Below are 17,247 nucleotides of genomic sequence, written 5' to 3'. Positions count from 1 at the left end.
CTGTATTTATTGATGCTTCAAGTTTAGGTTATCTGTTTATACACCATGAATCGTCCATCTGAAATGGTGGAAACCTAAGCTGCAGACCTCAATCTACCGTAGATATCAAGCAAGTCAACATTTTCTTGTAAGGTCATTACTTTTCTCCACTTCTTGGGAGCACTTCCAGCATCACAAGTGGCACTTTGTATGGGTCCCACAGTGTACTAAAGGTTTACGTATTGCACTAAATACAATGAAAAATACTTGAGAACTGTGAGAGATCACTTTTTACTGTGATATGCAATTTACCAGAGAGAGGAAATGCTCACACAGAGATGATTAGCATCACAGGGCATTTTAAGCAGATGCTCCCAAAACTTGAGCTCACCACAACAGAAGGTGGCTATGCAATCATTACAGTAGTACACTATATACTATAGTTAATTATATGCAGTTATGATTTAATACTGCCTCTTTACATTTGTTTACATTTCTCTCAACTACAAATGGCATCATGCACAATTTGTAATGTGTGCATAAGTTTTGATAAATTTTAAAGTCTTATAATGGTGTGTATATTTTATGGTAGTAAATAATAAAACAGTCTAGTATGTACATATATTTTATGCATTCGTGCCATACCTTTTTCTTAATTTTTTTCAGTGTTTGTAGACTATGTAGTTCACGTAAGTTTTTTCAAATTGTGGGAAATCTCCCCGCCCCCGCCCCAGGCAGCCACTCATCTACTTCCTGTCCCTACAGATTTACCCTTTCTGGAATTGCATATAAATAAGATCATACAATTTGTGGTTTCTTGTGTCTAGCTTCTATCATTTGGCAAAATGTTTTCAAGATATATAATGTTATTATATAGCATGCATTAAGAATTCATTCTTTTTATTGCTGAATAGTATTTCACTCCACAGATACATTTTGCTTATCCATTTACCAGTTTACAGATATATGGATTGTTTCCACTTCTAGCTACTATGAATGATGTTGCTATAAATGTTTGCATCCCAGTCTAGCTTTTGAGAGGCAAAAAATAAATAAAATAAAATAGACTTCAAGCTTGGTGAGACTGGCCAGGTTTCAGAACATCGTTGGCATGAGTTACAGGCACAGTATTCTACGAATACTAAACATCTAAGAAGAAAGAAACGTCAGCTAATACCAACAAGATACCCTCATGAATACAAGGAAATCATGAGACAAGACGGCAAAGTGTGGAAGTACTACTTCACAGCTCAGAGGCAGGATATCTGCGTTGCAGATGCCTATGACACCAACTACTGAAAAATCTACCAAAAGAAGCCCAGGAGAGGTCAAGGAGAAGCCAGTCCGCCTGATATACAAGTAGCAAAAATATCTTTAACACGTGCAGTTCCCTCCACCTGGAACATCTTCTCTCCCTCCACTTTTCCACCATCCTGCCCCTTTTATAGTTTCACACTTAAACAGTTGTCTTCTTCTAAGATTCAACGTCCTTAAAAATTAATTCAAACATCATCTTCTTGGGGAAGACATCATGTTTTCCCAAAGCTGTCACTATTTAGTGACATTGTTAAGCTCTGGAAGTATTTTCCCATTAAAATATTTCACACGGTTTACATTTTTTAGTTGACTTCTCTGTTCAGTTCACCGAGTTCCTAGCGGTTGTTTCATCTCTGCATGCCAAACACATACATGGTACACAGTGCTCAATGTTTGTTAGAGAAAACAGTGAGTGAGTGATTTCCAGAGAGACGTTTCCTTAGAGGTCCAGATTTATCAGAGAGCATCTCCCTGATCATTCCATAGCAGGGTATCTAATGGCCACATCAAACAACTCATAAAAAACAACGCTTTAACTTCCCCCTCATGACCACTTCCCCAGTCCCATTCCTCCCCCAAATGACCTGTTTGGAAAATGGCACCATCATCAACCCAGATGCTCACCTCACAACCCGGGAGGCGGTCATCCTTGATGGCCCCCTCTCCGTCAACATCCTGTAGGCTCACCCTCCAGAACACAGCCCTATTTACAACTATTTTTCCTCCACCACCACCTCTCTAATCCAACCTATTAGCATCTCTTGCCCCGATTAACTTCCTAACTAGTTGTTACATTTCCACTCTCATCCCTCTATAACCCATACTCCACACAGCAGCTGGTGGTCTTTTGAAAATAGTTATTAAAATCTTACTTTTAATATAAGATTTTAGTTAAAAAATACATGGATATACCCTCCTTGTAAAGTATTAAAATACTGCAGACAATGCTAAGTCTCTTTGACCACCAGCTCTCATTCCAGTTCTCACACTCCTCTCTTCAGAAGTATCCACGACCACCGGGGCAGTATGTGTTCTTCCAGGCCTTTCTCTACATACAGCCTAGAAAATATAATATACTGTGCACATCGTTCTGAAGTTTACTTTTTTCATTCAACAATATAATTTATGAGGCTTTTCATGTTGCTACCTCGTTTTTAATAGTAAGTTTTTTTAAATTTTGTTTTATGTCACAGGAGCATCTTTTACAATAAGCTTAGATCACAGTTTAGCCCTTCCAGTATTGTCTGGTACTGATAGCCATTTTAATTGTATCCAAAACAACACTGTACTGAATATCCTTGAATGAGCCCTAAGTTAGATACTGACAAGTATTTTACTCAGACACAGATTCATAAAGTTAACCTCAGGAAGCACTTCCTGCTATGCAGCTCCTGCAGTAAGGGGACTTGGGGCCATGATGCCTTAGCCTTACTTGTAGTTCTCGATTATGCGCCCTGAAGCCTGCTGCTTCTGAACGGAGAGCTCAGCTAGATCAGACTGAGTCCGAGCTTCCATGCAGCAAGCTCCCTGGTGTAAAGGCACAGCTGCTGTCAGTGGAGAGTTATAAGAACTAACTCAGCCTTAATAGCTTGTGGGGAAGTATCTGGTGCTTCAGTTCCATCCTCTGATTTTTACTTTTTTTTTTTTTTTTTAAAGAGACTGGGCAGCACAGCAAGACTTCAGGGGTCTTGCTCTACTGCTCAGGCTGGGCTGCAGCCTCGAACTCCTGGGCTCAAGTGATCCTCCTGCCTCAGCTTCAAGAGTAAGCTAGGACTTACCGGTATGTGCCACTATGCCTGGCTAATTTTTTAAATTTATTTATTTATTTATTTATTTATTTATTTATTTATTTATTTGTAGAAACAGGGTCTCACTGTGTAGCCCAGGCTGGTCTCAAACTCCTGGGCTCAAGTGATCCTCCCACATTGGTATCCCGAAGAGTTGAAATTATAGGCATCAGCCACTCTCTGGCCCTGATTTTAACTTCTTTTGCAGTCTACAGCTATTGTTACATTTAGAGACAAAATAAATGAATTTCACAATAAATTTCAAAATGTTCATAATGTGAGGTTGGTGTTATTTCAGTATATCTCAACTCTTAATCTTGCCTGGATAAATGCAAGAAGAAAGTATGTTGGTTTGGCCACATGATCAATGCATTTCTGTGGGATTTACCTGAACAAATGTCCTAACGCTATAGTGATGCTGTTAGCAGGGCCTGGTCTTTAACTAAGGGATCTCTACATAACTGACCTAAATGGAGTTACCCAGCATTGACTCTCAGTGATCTTGCAGGGTCCCAAAGTGAAGAAGAAATTCAGTTAAGCACAGGCCTTCCAGAATGTGAAGATCATGGAGGCAGCTGGCCAGATTACTAGACAATTAAACCAAGTCTAACTGCTTCCCAAAAAAGCTTTAAGAAGGTAAATGAGTCAATCAATCTCGGTGCACCTGTAGCTTCTCAGGCCAGAGAAAAAGCACATGCTGGAAAGCATGCTTAACATTTCAAAGATGACTATTTATAGACATCCAAAAAATATATGCCCATGTTCATAAATGTTACTCTTTTTTTTTCTAACATCATCTAAGGCATTTTAAACTTAGATTCAAGTTTCTATTATAGTCTGCTTCTACAAAATGTTCACTTTTTTATATATAATGTATTTATTAAGAAGAGGAAACAGCCTTATTTATTCTTGAACCTTGTTAAACAACAAAGGAGCTTCTGACCAAAGGCCCTACAATTTCCTTCTTTGATTTCTTTGTATTAAATTGTTTTATATTAAATTTACAAAGGTTCTATTTTTATTGTCATAATCTGACTCTTTTGTGTTATGCATATATTTCACCAAGACCAATTTGAATTTTTTCTAAACATTTAGTGACCAATTTCACAGATCATGCATGATCCTTAGCCTTGAGATTTTTACATAATTATTTCACTTTATTCTCTAGTTGACAATGTAATACGAGCTAGAAGGAGACACCTGTTGTGGAAGTCACAGATTTACAGGTTGCTTATTACCACAGCAGAGCTGACTAATGCATGAGTCTATCTAAAGTAGTCACTATCTATCATGGCATACAGTTGATTTCTTTAATGCTATTATCATGTCTGAATTTATCTCCTTTATTGCTCTAGTCCTCCTTCCTACCTCCCCATGACTTATTTTGTCCACCACTGTGGTCCTTAGTGGCTAGAACAGCGACTGCTGCTCATTCAACATGTGTTCAATGAACCTATCTTCTGGTGACCACCACATCTGCACTGGTGACTCCTTCAACCGTACACTAAGTCACGCTTAGCTTCTGCAAGTATTTGTTTTGCAGTATTGAAAAACTCCTCCATGAGGAGGGCACAGCGTTCTGCCTGGAGTGTGAGGCCGGTGTTGCTTGGCTGCAGCTGCCATTTGCCACTGATGATCATTCTTCTCTTCCCCTGTGAGAGTAAGGAGAGGATGCAGTCTGAGTGGTTCAAAAAAATTTAAAAAAACAAAAATAAAAATAAAAGGGCTGGGCATGGTGGCTCACGGCTGTAATCCCAGCACTTTGGTGAGCCAAGGTGGGTGGATCACCTGAGGTCAGGAGTTCGAGACCAGCCTGGCCAATATGGTGAAACCCCATCTCTACTAAAAATACAAAAATTAGCTGGGCGTGGTGGCAGGTGCCTGTAATCCTAGCTACTCGGGAGGCTGAGGCAGGAGAATCACTTGAACCTGGGAGGTGGCGGTTGCAGTGAGCCGAGATTGTGCCACTGCACTCCAGCCTGAGTGACAGAGTGATACTGCGTCTCAAAAAAATAAATAAATAAAAAATAAAAAATCTCCTTATTCTGGCCCTGAGTACAACTAAAAGACAAACTGAAAGAATCACAGATTTTTTTAAGCTCCGGGGCTGGAATTTCAAGAACCAAGAGAAAACTAAGAAACGTTCCTAAGCAGCCTAAAGAATGGTACTAACATGCCACAAATCAATCCCATACCTACTATTTGCTTTGCTATTTAAACATACGATTGAATTTTTATAGCTTACATGGAGACTTTCCTTGGTGATATTTCTGTGTGCTCTCTAGCCTCTATGTTCCTCTGGCACAGCACCAGATCCTCCAAGCACTAAAAATTAGACATATGGAATGTGAGGAATGTTTGATAACTATACTAACTTCAGAGATCAGCCCTTATTCATAAACAAAAATGCATGCCCTTTGAGCTTAGACTCAAATTCAGTTTGAAGCAAGCATAAGTCATGAGGCTGAACGCTGGCAAAGTATGCAAGGTGAAGTGAGGTGGGCTGGGAAAACTCTAAATATAGTTCTTCATCACAGTGAAGACAAATACTGCTTCTTTGTTTTAATTGAATGTGCAAAGCACTGCGTGGCTAAGTTTTAGACTAGTAGCACCTGGGTTAGAAAAACAAACCATTAAAAAATAAAATGTGCTCTGTTTCCCAGTGCTTTCACGAACATCTCCTTATCAGGGCCTCATCTTTATTTATCTTTTTCTATAGGTGCTAGCTCTGTTCAAGATTAATTAAAAGCAAAAAATCAAGTACAAAAAACGATGCTTTGAGAAACTGTTCTAGTCCAAAAGAGAAATAACAACCAGTTGCAGCATGTTTACCACGATGGGATCGCAATTTTTAAGGCAAAAAAAGTTATAAAAGAATTTTTGAGGCCAGGCACGGTGGCTCACGCCTGTAATCCAAGCACTTTGGGAGACTGATGTGGGCCGATCATTTGAGCGCAGGGGTTTGGGGCCAGCCTGGACAACATGATAAAACCCCATCTCTACAAAAAATACAAAAAATTAACCGGGTGTGGTGGCGTGTGCCTGTGGTCCCAGCTACTTGGGAGACTGAGGTGGGAGGATCACCTGAGCCCAGGAGATCAAGGCTACAGTGAGCCAAGATCACACCGCTGCACTCCAGCCTGGGCAACAGAGACACTGCCTCAAAAACAAAAACAAAAACAAAAAAATAAATAAATAAGAAATTTTGAAACTATATAATTTATGCTAGATGTCAGATGATGTTAGACATGCTAGATGTTAAATGATGTTATGGAACTATTTTTTTAATTTTCCATAGGTATGATAATTATAGTCCTGTAAGAGAATATTTTTGTTCCTGGGAAATGTATGCTGAACTATTTAGGAGAGAAGGGTCATAATAGCTGTCTGTACCTTACCTTCAAATGTTACAGCAAGAGAGAAAATATAGACATAAATATATTTACCTTACATATACCATATATACTGGGAAATGTATGCTGAACTATTTAGGAGTGACGGGTCATAATATCTGTACCTTACCTTCAAATGTTACAGCAAAAGAGAAAATATAGACATAGATATATTTATCTTACATATACCATATATACTTGTAGAATATTACAGAGAGAGAGAGAGCGCAAAAGAGAGAGAGACAGAGAGAGAGAGAAAGGAGAAGGAGAAGGAGGAGAGGAGGAAAAGGAGATGATAAAATTGGCAAAAAGTTAATTGTCAGATCTAAGAGCAGGATATATACAATGGTGTCCATTCTACTGTTTTCATTTTTTCTTATGTTTGAAAATTTTCAAAATAAAAAGTTGGGAGGATAAAATTCATTATTAAAGAACTTCCAGTAAACACTACACAGATTTAATATATGTGCTTACCTACATTCCCTCTAGAAAATAGCAGAAAGGGGATTTTTTAAAAGGCATAAACACAAAAGGACAATGGGAAGGTCAGCGGATGAGAACAACAAAATTTGGGACGGTGGGAAGCAAACTGCAGCGTGGTAAGTGATTCAGGAGACATGAGAAACAGAAAGCCTAGGTTAGCAATAGAGAAAGCCCAGAAGCAGATCCATTCATACTGCAAAAGCCTGAAACGGCTCAGGAATTCCAGCACCACAGACTTCAGACGGAGGGTGTGACCATGGAGGACTTGCCAGAAGTCTGTTAAGAAGCAGTCAGACCCCCTGCCTGCCTTTGCCCAACCTGGGCAGAAACAGAAGGTTTATTCTCTAGAAAGACTTAATCAGATGGGCCGTGGACTTCCAGGTGGCTCGGACTGCTGAAAGGAGTACCTTATTAAAAACAGGGAACATTACAGAGTGTGCACACACTGAACAGCAAGCATCCCAAGCCCCATTTCCATTACTCAGTTTGCAGAACCCAGGAGTTGGGCTTACATTTGTCAGGCCGAAGAATTGGAGGGTTTTTCCTGGGAAAACTGACCAGACCAAGAGAAAAGATCTACTGACATTAACATCTGGGAGTGCCTTAACAGAAATGCTAAGCCAGATCACTGCCATATGACTACCCCACCCACTAGTAGAGAGCTTCCAAACAGCTTTTTGTGCCTCATTCTTAAATATGACTGAGAGCTGTCTCAGTAGGACAGGCTAGATAACGCTGCAATAAAAAACAATACCAAAGTCTCAGTGGTTAAAAACAACAAACATTTACTTCCCATTCAAGCCAAGTCCAAAGTGGCTCTGGATGAATCCCCGGGCAGCTGGCCCCCCGCAGTGTGGAGCATTCCACACTGCATCTTGGGTGCCTGTGGCATCTCCAATCTCAACACAAGCATCGATCATCCAGGTAGGGGAGACGTGCACATCACTTCTGCTTGCAATCCACTGGTCAAAACAAGTCAGATGGAGGCAGGGAAGTTAATCCTGTCTCCTGTGTCTGGAAGGAGTGAAGAGCCAGAATGGTTGGTATTACTTATCTCAAACGCAAAAGCTAAGAATACTAGTCCCCTAAAATGAAAGCAGAAACCAAAACAACACTGAAAAAATAAAACTGAAGAATTCATTTCTTCAGAGATATTGAAGAAAACTTCAATTAGCATATTCAGAGAGATAGAACAGGTTACTATCAAAAGAAAAATATGTGGCCAGGCACGGTGGCTCACACGTGCAATCCCAACACTTTGGGAGGCCAAGGCAGGAAGATCTCTTAAGCCTGAGAGTTTGAGACCAGCCTGGGCAACATAACAAGACCCCACCTCTACAAAAACAAAGAAATTAAAAAATTAGCCAGGCATGGCAGCACATGCTTGTGGTCCCAGCTACTCAGGAGGATGAGGTGGGAGGATCACTTGAACCTAGGAGGTCAAGGCTGCAGTGAGCTGTGATTATACCACTGCACTCCAGCCTGGGTGACAGAGCACCCTGTGGGGTGAGGAGAGGAGGGGAGGAGAGGGGAGAGAAGGGGAGGGGAGGTAAATAAATACGTACATAAATATTTGGAGAAAAGAATTTAAAAATTCCTGGAAATGAACAATATGATGGCAGAAACCATCTATTGACAAATTAAAAGATCAAGTTTAAAAAATTTCCCAAAGAGTAAGACAGAAGGGAAAAGATAAGGAAAGTGAACAACCAATCTAGGAGGTCTAATATCTGACTTGCATGAGTTCCAGAGAGAGAGAACAAAGTAAATACAAAGAGAAAAATATTATCAAAATACTAGTGCAAGAAAATTTCCCTAAACTGAATCTGAATGACACTGGTTTCTTGATTATATATGACCCACCTAGCACAATGGTTACAAAAGGCCTACATCAATGCCCAACATTGTGAAATTTTAGAACATGAGGGCAAAAACAAAACCCAAAAACTTCAGAGAGGAATCAGGTCACAAAGAGGAAACAAACAAATAACAATAACAAAAAAAAAAAAAAAAAACAAGAAACATAAAAGCATCAGACCTCTCAAACACAACACTGGAATATACAAGTCAGTAAAGCAGTACCATCGAATTTTTACTCCAAATTACTTCCAACCTGGAATTATGTCCCTAGCTAAAATATTAATCACATATGAGAGCAGAATAATGGCATCTGTGGAGATGCAAAGCCTCAACAAATCTATGCTCCCTTTCCAACGCTACTCCACCAAAACAGAGAATAAACCAAGAAAACTGGAAGACATGATATCCAGCAAATGAGCACCCAACACAGGAAAATGACAAATGAAACCTACAAGATGACAGTAAATGGAGGCCATAGGATGACAGTGTGCAGCAGTTACAATGATTAACCAGGACAAACTTGAAATTAAGAACAGAAGGTGCAGGAGGTTCCAAACCAACAGAATACACAGTGTGTTGGAATGTACTGAAAGGAGATTTATAATTCTGGCCACAAATTGGTAATAGGAATATAGAGAAGTAAGCCAATGGAAAAAAGAGATGATTATTAACTACAGAGAAAACAAAAGGAAATGCAATCATAGTACACCAGATAGGTCATCCATGAATAATATTTACATAGTCATAAAAATGTACACACAGACTACTGATTTCTTTACAAGGTGATAGAAAACACCAAGAGGATGAGGGGAGGGAGGCACATGTGCATGAGGAAGGCACAGTAAGAAAGCTGAATCCTCAACCAGGGCGGGAAGTCAGTTCTCAAAATCCAAAGCTAAGAAGTCAAGATAGATAGATAAAGTTATTTAAAAACACAGCGGCAAATACCAAAAGAAACTTTTAAATATGTAAATGTGGTCGACTGTAGAGACAGTGAATCAAGTGTGGGGGAGAGTAGTGGGTCACAGGATGCCTGTCTTTGCTTTGGGAACCATTTGAGTGTTTGTTAATCATTTACAGATATAACTTTGATTAACGTAAAGTTTTAAAATCTCCCACTAAGTTTCCAATTTTAATTTTAAAAGTCAGAAAAGTTTCCCTACCATGTTTATTTACTGATTTCAAATTTACCTCTAAAGAAATCTCATAAAACTTTAGTTACATTTGCTCAGAGATTATGTAAAGTATATTTTTCAGTACTCCAAAATACATAATATAAAAATATGAAGATATTACCAATATACACTTTTAGTATAACTAAACTCTAGTGAATCTTAAATCAAATTTTAAAACATAAATATTATACCTTGTTCTTCCAGTTTTCATTTGGAAATCCCAGTCAATATATTGTTAAAAGACACCAAATAATATATATGAAAAGTATTCTATAAAGAGTTAAAGCACAACATAAATGTTTTCACTTTTATTTTTAACCCTTGACCCTGCTCTCAATGAGGCTAATTGGAAAGACTGAGTCTAATTGGAAAGATAAGGCACATGCAGAAATGTTTATAATCTAAGGCAGTTTGTGTTAAGAACCCTGTAAACAGTACAAAGAAGAAATGAAGGCCTTTGATTAGAAAAGCTTCCTTATGGTTGCATCTGAAATAATGGATGTCACTGTAAGCTCTCATCAGTTACATTCTCTCTTCATTTTACAAAGTGGAAAACCAAATTGATTTGAAGAAATTACTTTTTCTAAATGTCATAATAGGAGACTGAGGCAGGAGGATCACTTGAAGCTCAGAGTTCAAGACCAGTCTAGGAAATATAGCGAGACTCTCTATTAAAAAAAAAAAAAAAAATTAATTAGCTAGTGTAGTCCCAGCTACTCAGGAGGCTGAGGCAAAAGGATCACTTGAGGAGTTCAAGGTTATAGTAAGCTATGACCATGCTACTGCACTCCAGTCTGGCTGGCAGAGCGAGACCCTGTCACTTTAAAAAAATATAAATAAATAAATCACAACATGATGACTATTTATTTCTCTTCCCTGTTATTTCTACCGTGCTCTCAATAAATAGTATGAAAATCAACAGAAATGCAAAATCATGTCACAAAAGTGCATCTCAGCATCCCAGGCTCCCCAGGTTTCACCTTCAGGACTTTTACCTCTCCCTGTGCCAACCCTTTGCAATACATGTTCCCAAGCCTGCTCTCCTCGAAAGTGCTTTCCTCTTTACCCCACCCACCGTCCACGTACCCCACAGGCATCCTAATGACTGACTCCAGAACTTGAGAGCTGGAAAGTTTGTCCAAGGAAGCCCCTGAAACTGTTGTCAGGTGTCTGAAGAGCATGTTTGTGCAAGGCTATGGAATGTTTTAGTTTATACACTTCGAGCCTCAGTGAGGCTGAACTGGTTAGCTGGTCCCCCATTGTGACTCTAGGTGTCTGCCTCCTGAATCTGTTTTAAGACAGATAATGGATCAAGCATGACCCGCTATTTTCTACAGTGGAAATCATTCTCTGGCCAACGGCACAATAACTGTTAATCTAATGTTCGTGTCTTTTTAAGTTAATAAGCATCTGGAATACTAATCCTCTCAGCATTATTTCTGCTATAGCTTTCTGTTCACTTTTTCCAACAAACCAACTATCCTTCAAGTAACTTGAAAACCTACTTTCCAAATAAAAGCATCCTTTGAATGATACTGTTCTTTTGAAGCTCAAATTAGTATCCATGAGAAAGTAGTGATTTACAGCAGCTTCTCTACTTAGGTAAAAGTCTACCTAATTGCTTATATTAAAGCTAGCTAGAAATCGGGTTTTCAAAAGTGTTCCTGCAATGAAAACATAATTTTACATGAATATTTACTTGATAATATAATTATTAGAAATTTAGTGATTCACTGGTTTGAGGGGAACTTGTAGCACTTTAATGCTTCTTTATGCACAGTCTTAAATCTCCAAAATTACTTGCTTCCTTTAACATATATACTATATTATATAAACAAATTAGGCTTATATGCATAAATATATTCACCCTATTATTTAGGTATCCCATGGTCATTCCAAAATCATATTTTTTACAGGGTCTCTCTGATGGCCACCCAAAAAACATAATGATTAAGAAAAACATGGCCAGGTGCAGTGGCTCACACACGTAATCCCAGCACTGTAGGAGGCTGTGGCAGGAGAATCACTTGAGGCCAGGAGTTCAAGAATAGTTTGGCAACATGGTGAGACTCCACTTCTATGAAAAAATAAAAAAAAAATTATTTTAAAAGCTTTGAGTCCGTGTTACAGCTCTTTTAGAATTCATCTAGCAGGTTTTCCAGTCTTCGATAAATGTGTAAAAAACACATGAAGCGTACTTGTCAGTCAGTCCTTCCTCAACTCTTAACAGCTTTATAGCAACACGTAAAATTTCAAGGAGCATCAATAATGATTAAGCAAAATTAAAAGTTTCATGTGCCAATGATTTGTAAGTTTATACCTAACTGATCAATTCTGTTGATTTTACAACTTCTGAATGTTTTTTAAATATGCACATATAAATTTTAGAGGCTGGGCGTGGTGGTTCACGCCTGCAATCCTGGCACTTTGGGAGGCCAAGGCGGGCAGATCATCTGCGGTCAGGAGTTCAAGACCAGCCTGACCAACATGGAGAAACCCCATCTCTACTAAAAACAGAAAATTAGCCGGGCGTGGTGGTGCACGCCTGTAATACCAGCTACTCGGGAGGCTGAGCCAGAAGAACCACTTGACCCCGGGAGGCAGAGGTTGTGGCGAGCCGAGATCGTGCCATTGCACTCCAGCCTGGGCAACAAGAGTGAAACTCTGTCTCAAAAAAAAAAAATTATAATACTATATGCCATAAAATGACATTTCATATTTAAAGAGTTTTTTAAAACTCTTGTATTCACATGCCATAATTTGAAACCCTATTTCACTGAATGAGAATGGTATCTGTTGTCCTCATTTTTTCATTTTTATCCTTAACAATTTCCACCACAGCCAGTGCATATAATGGCAATGACACCCAGGGACGGAATGATAAGTTCCATCACAGCTCAGTCAAGACGCAGACATTGATGTGGCCCCAACAACAGTCAATAATGGAGTCTCCAAAATAAAGCTCTATAGGAAAGGTAAATACCCGCTGCACAAGAAACCACAGCATCTAGGTTCTAACCCCATCTCTATGAAGAGCTTGCTGGGAGAGTTTTGACATTTAACAATCTGTCTGATTGCCAATTTTCTTCTTCTATAAAATGATAATGTTTGACTCAAAGATCCAAAGTCAATTCATGGTCTAAAACTTAATGATTTTTTTAGGTTTTGTGACATTTCACTGTACACTGTAGTAATTTATATCTTATTTTCCCACTAATTTAGAAAAATATCTAAATGATCCTTAATTGGCAATGGGTCCTAAGAATTTTGTTTTAAATCCCTGTTACCCAAAAGAGCCCTTTTTTGTATCTCGCAGTAGTTACAAGGATCTTTCTAAATCTTAAAAAAAAAAAAAAAAGAAAGAAAAGAAAAGAAAAAAAGTCAGCCGGGCGTGGTGGCTCATGCCTGTAATCCCAGCACTTTGGGACCAAGGTGGACAGATCACGAGGTCAGGAGATGGAGACCATCCTGGCCAACATGGAGAAACCCTGTCTCTACTAAAAATACAAAAAAATTGGCTTGGCATGGTGGCGCACGCCTGTAGTCCCAGCTACTCGGGAGGCTGAGGCAGGAGAATCGCTTGAACCCAGGAGGCAAAGGTTGCACTGAGCCAAGATCACATCACTGCACTCCAGCCTGGTGACAAAGCAAGACATCATCTCAAAAAAAAAAAAAAATCACAAACTTCCATGGCCAACTACATAAAATCAAGGTATCTAGTCTGGCATTCAGGATACTCAAAATTTGACCTCAACTCACCTCCCAACCTTCATTTCCAGTGATTCCCTTTCCTGTTCCCAAAGCTACAGTCAAACTAAACATGTTTTTTCTAAGTGCACCAAAGTGTTCCATCACCCATGTTTTTTGTTTATGCCATTTATCTTTACCTAGACTGTTCTCTATCTCCACTAAGCCAAGTCTTACCTGATTCTCAAAGCTAGGGGGACCATCCATATAATTTATCACACAAACTGGAACAATTTTGACCAGAAAGATGTTAATTGGAGGGGACATCAGGACATCCGGAGTAAACTGGGGCTGACCCAAGCAGACTGGGAGATATGACAGCTCTACACAAAGCCCAACTCAAATGCACATCTATCAGAAATAACCTCTCTCTCCCTTAAATCTCTGCCACACTTCTCACTTGTATCTCTTCTCACTTATCATTTCTGCATGTATTCGAGCTATGTGTATAAAAGGCTTTATTCTCCCTCACTAACCTGAGTCATCATTATCCCCACAATGTCTAGCATACGGTAGGTTCTCAATAAATGTCTAATGGGATGAATTATTTCCTAGGTATGTCTAACTCCAGTATATAAAATTAGGTTTTCTCGAATCAGTGCATGCCTTTTAAAAATCAACACCAGAGTTCACACAGAGAAGAACCACACTCCGTGGCCATATGAAAATTCTGTGTTCCTCAGAGATGTCCCATGTTCACAAACCATGGTGGTTTGTCCTGATGTGAAATTTCCATGGTGCAAATGACAAATCCATATATGACGTCATACAGGCTGGGACAGAAACCATATTGCCCAGCCACATGGTGCCTTGGTATTAACTACATGTCTAAGCTCTGGTGCAAGACCTACAGAACTCTGTGCTTCCAATTTGTGAGGAGATAGTTCAAGAAGAGCATTGTTTCAACTTAGGAGAGCTTCAGCTCTCAGGACACAGAGCTGAGAGATTACCTTTTTATCCAATAAGGTTTTGACTACCCTGGATCCCAAAGTATTTGATCTTACCTTTCTTATGATATTGACTACCTTCTAGTTATATATTCTAGACACCTGAGGGTCCAGGGCTGTAATCACTGATCTTTGTATACTTCAGAGTACACAGAATAACACACATTATACATATTCAACAAATATTGGTTGAATTAATTTCAAAAACAAGTGAGTAAATGACTTGAGATTGTTCACCAACTGAAACAAGACTTCTCATGGCCCTGCTGAAGCATGTTTCAAATATACACGAACTCAGGCCTGCTTCACTCATGTATTCCAACTCCTTTATAGGCAAAAAATATCCTGTGAGATAGATTTAATGAGGCTCCACCTTACAAAACACTATGGCTCACAAAAGTGAAGAGCACTGTCCAGAATGAGCAGCCAAGGGATAGCCAGTTCTGAAATCGAGACATTCTGCCGACACAGGAGCACTGCAATGAACTTGACAGACATGACATTTATATAAAGAAAATATTTACAAGTTTGATGGCTATTCTCATCCCTGAATGCCACGGGCTACAGCAGACAAATACCCCAAATGCCTTACCCAATTCTATCAATTTCCCTGAAATCAAGGAAGAAAAAAAAAAGCTTTCAGTATCTGTGTCTTTTAGCCACTAGTACAGATAAACCTGGCTATATCTGGGGGAGGGAGTAACATAAATGAGAGAAAAAAAGAATGTAGGACAAAATTAGAAGTAGAAAGCTTTAACTTGTATGTTCTCATTACTAACACAAGATCTCAATTTATTACATTACAGGTAGATACTAACAGTATGATATCAGTGTGGCACTCTTCATCACAAGCACACATTAAAACACTGCTACATAAATGTATCAAGTTACTACTCTGGGGACTCCATAAATGAGACACTTTGTCATCTGGAATGTCTACCTGAAGACAGACTCTTTTACTATGACAGAAAGTCTTATGAATTAAACAAAAGCATTTTTTAAAAATCAAACACTTATTTTTTGTCCAAGTGTATTTCATCACACCACATTCAAATTCCACAATGTAAGATTTGGATGAAAAAGAAAAAGTTGCATTTGGTGCCAGTTTTTAAGGTTCTTTGATTACCTATATAGTTTCTACATTCTTTGTAACAGTAATTAAATGTAAGCCTCAACGGGCTTCAGTCCTATTTGCTATGAGTCTGAAGGCATGAGAAGTATGTAGCATTTATGTAACAGGAAATATCTAAAAGCATTCTGCTGAGATTTCCTTCCCCCACACCCCCTTCCACACCCATTCCTTAAACTGCCTTCAAAAGGCCTGCTGTGTTCTCTAAAAATTAAACATTAGTTACTAAAAGAAACAGTGTACCTATTCCTCAGCACATCTCCACTAAAGTTGTATTTAGCCTGGCTTAAACAGCTTCTCAAGCCTAGCACCTGACCCTTAATGCTCAAATATTTTAATGTCATAGAGGCCAAAGATGCTTTTCTGTTGTTATCAGGGTGGAATTTAGGAGGAAAGAAGAAGGCTTCCCAACTCAGCTTTCCACTCTCCACACACCAAACCCCAGTCAAGAGGCCCTTCCAAAGCCCTGACATGAATGTGTCCCTGACACTCCAAGTCAGAAGAGGCCCTTGTACCTCTTCTACCCTCTCTAATCCCGTACTCCCTGTCCTACCCTCAAACCAACTTTGCCCAACCATGATTTGAATTCCCATGGGCATTTACCCAGTAAATACAAGACTCTGAAACAAATGGAATGTGAAATGCACAGACCCAGGAATGTTTGTGTTATGCTAGAGGTAATGATTGTTAATCCAGCTCTTAAATGAGTCTAACATTTACTATTAGTTATTAGTACCTCTGCAGCAGTACTTATTACTATTAGTTATTATTAGTTATCAATACCTCTAGTTTACTAAATGCCTAAAATGTGCCTTTTCTACAGTATACCATTGGTCATTAAAAATCCTTATGGTAACCAGAATGTGGATGTCACTTAACTGGAGGCTGCCACATGGAATTGGTACCCAGACAACTATAATTTGCCTGGTCTCTTGAAAACATGTGCCCATGTCCTCAGAAGTCAAGCGCTGCCCAAGAATACCCACAAGGCCTGGCTCCAAGGAGCATCCTCCTAACAGGTGAGCCAAGTGGGCCTAAACCCAATCCATTCCAGGACCCATACCCACAGGAAAGGACCTACTTCTCTGCTGCTGGTTTCAAAGCCATTCATATCACAGGGTTTTTCTCCAACAGTGTGAACTGTCTAAAGAGCTTCCCAAAATTATTTTTAGCTTTTTTAAAAAAGGTAGGAATTCCTTAGTTCTAATTTTCTCTGCCTTTTGAAGATCAACTCCTAATCTCTTCTTTCTGTGCCACTACTTAAAATATATATATTAAAAATATATATAAAAATATATATATTATATATAATATATATGTATATATAATATATATATGTATATATAATATATATATGTATATATAATATATATATGTATATATATATATATATGTATATATAATATATATATGTATATATATATATATATA

General features: G+C 38.8%; 1 protein-coding gene and 1 pseudogene across 5 annotated transcripts in view; one reads left to right on the top strand and one right to left on the bottom strand.

The window, feature by feature from the left end:
* Window positions 1–17,247, bottom strand: part of WWC2 (WW and C2 domain containing 2) — a 221,521-nt gene that overhangs the window by 139,248 nt on the left and 65,026 nt on the right. The window lies entirely within an intron of this gene.
* LOC124900923 (uncharacterized) lies at window positions 4,590–4,770 on the top strand (annotated as a pseudogene).

The sequence above is a fragment of the Homo sapiens genome, chromosome 4, assembly GCF_000001405.40.
Source record: "Homo sapiens chromosome 4, GRCh38.p14 Primary Assembly".
NCBI classification, from domain to species: Eukaryota; Metazoa; Chordata; class Mammalia; order Primates; family Hominidae; genus Homo; species Homo sapiens.
This window is presented reverse-complemented; position numbering and strand designations above follow the sequence as displayed.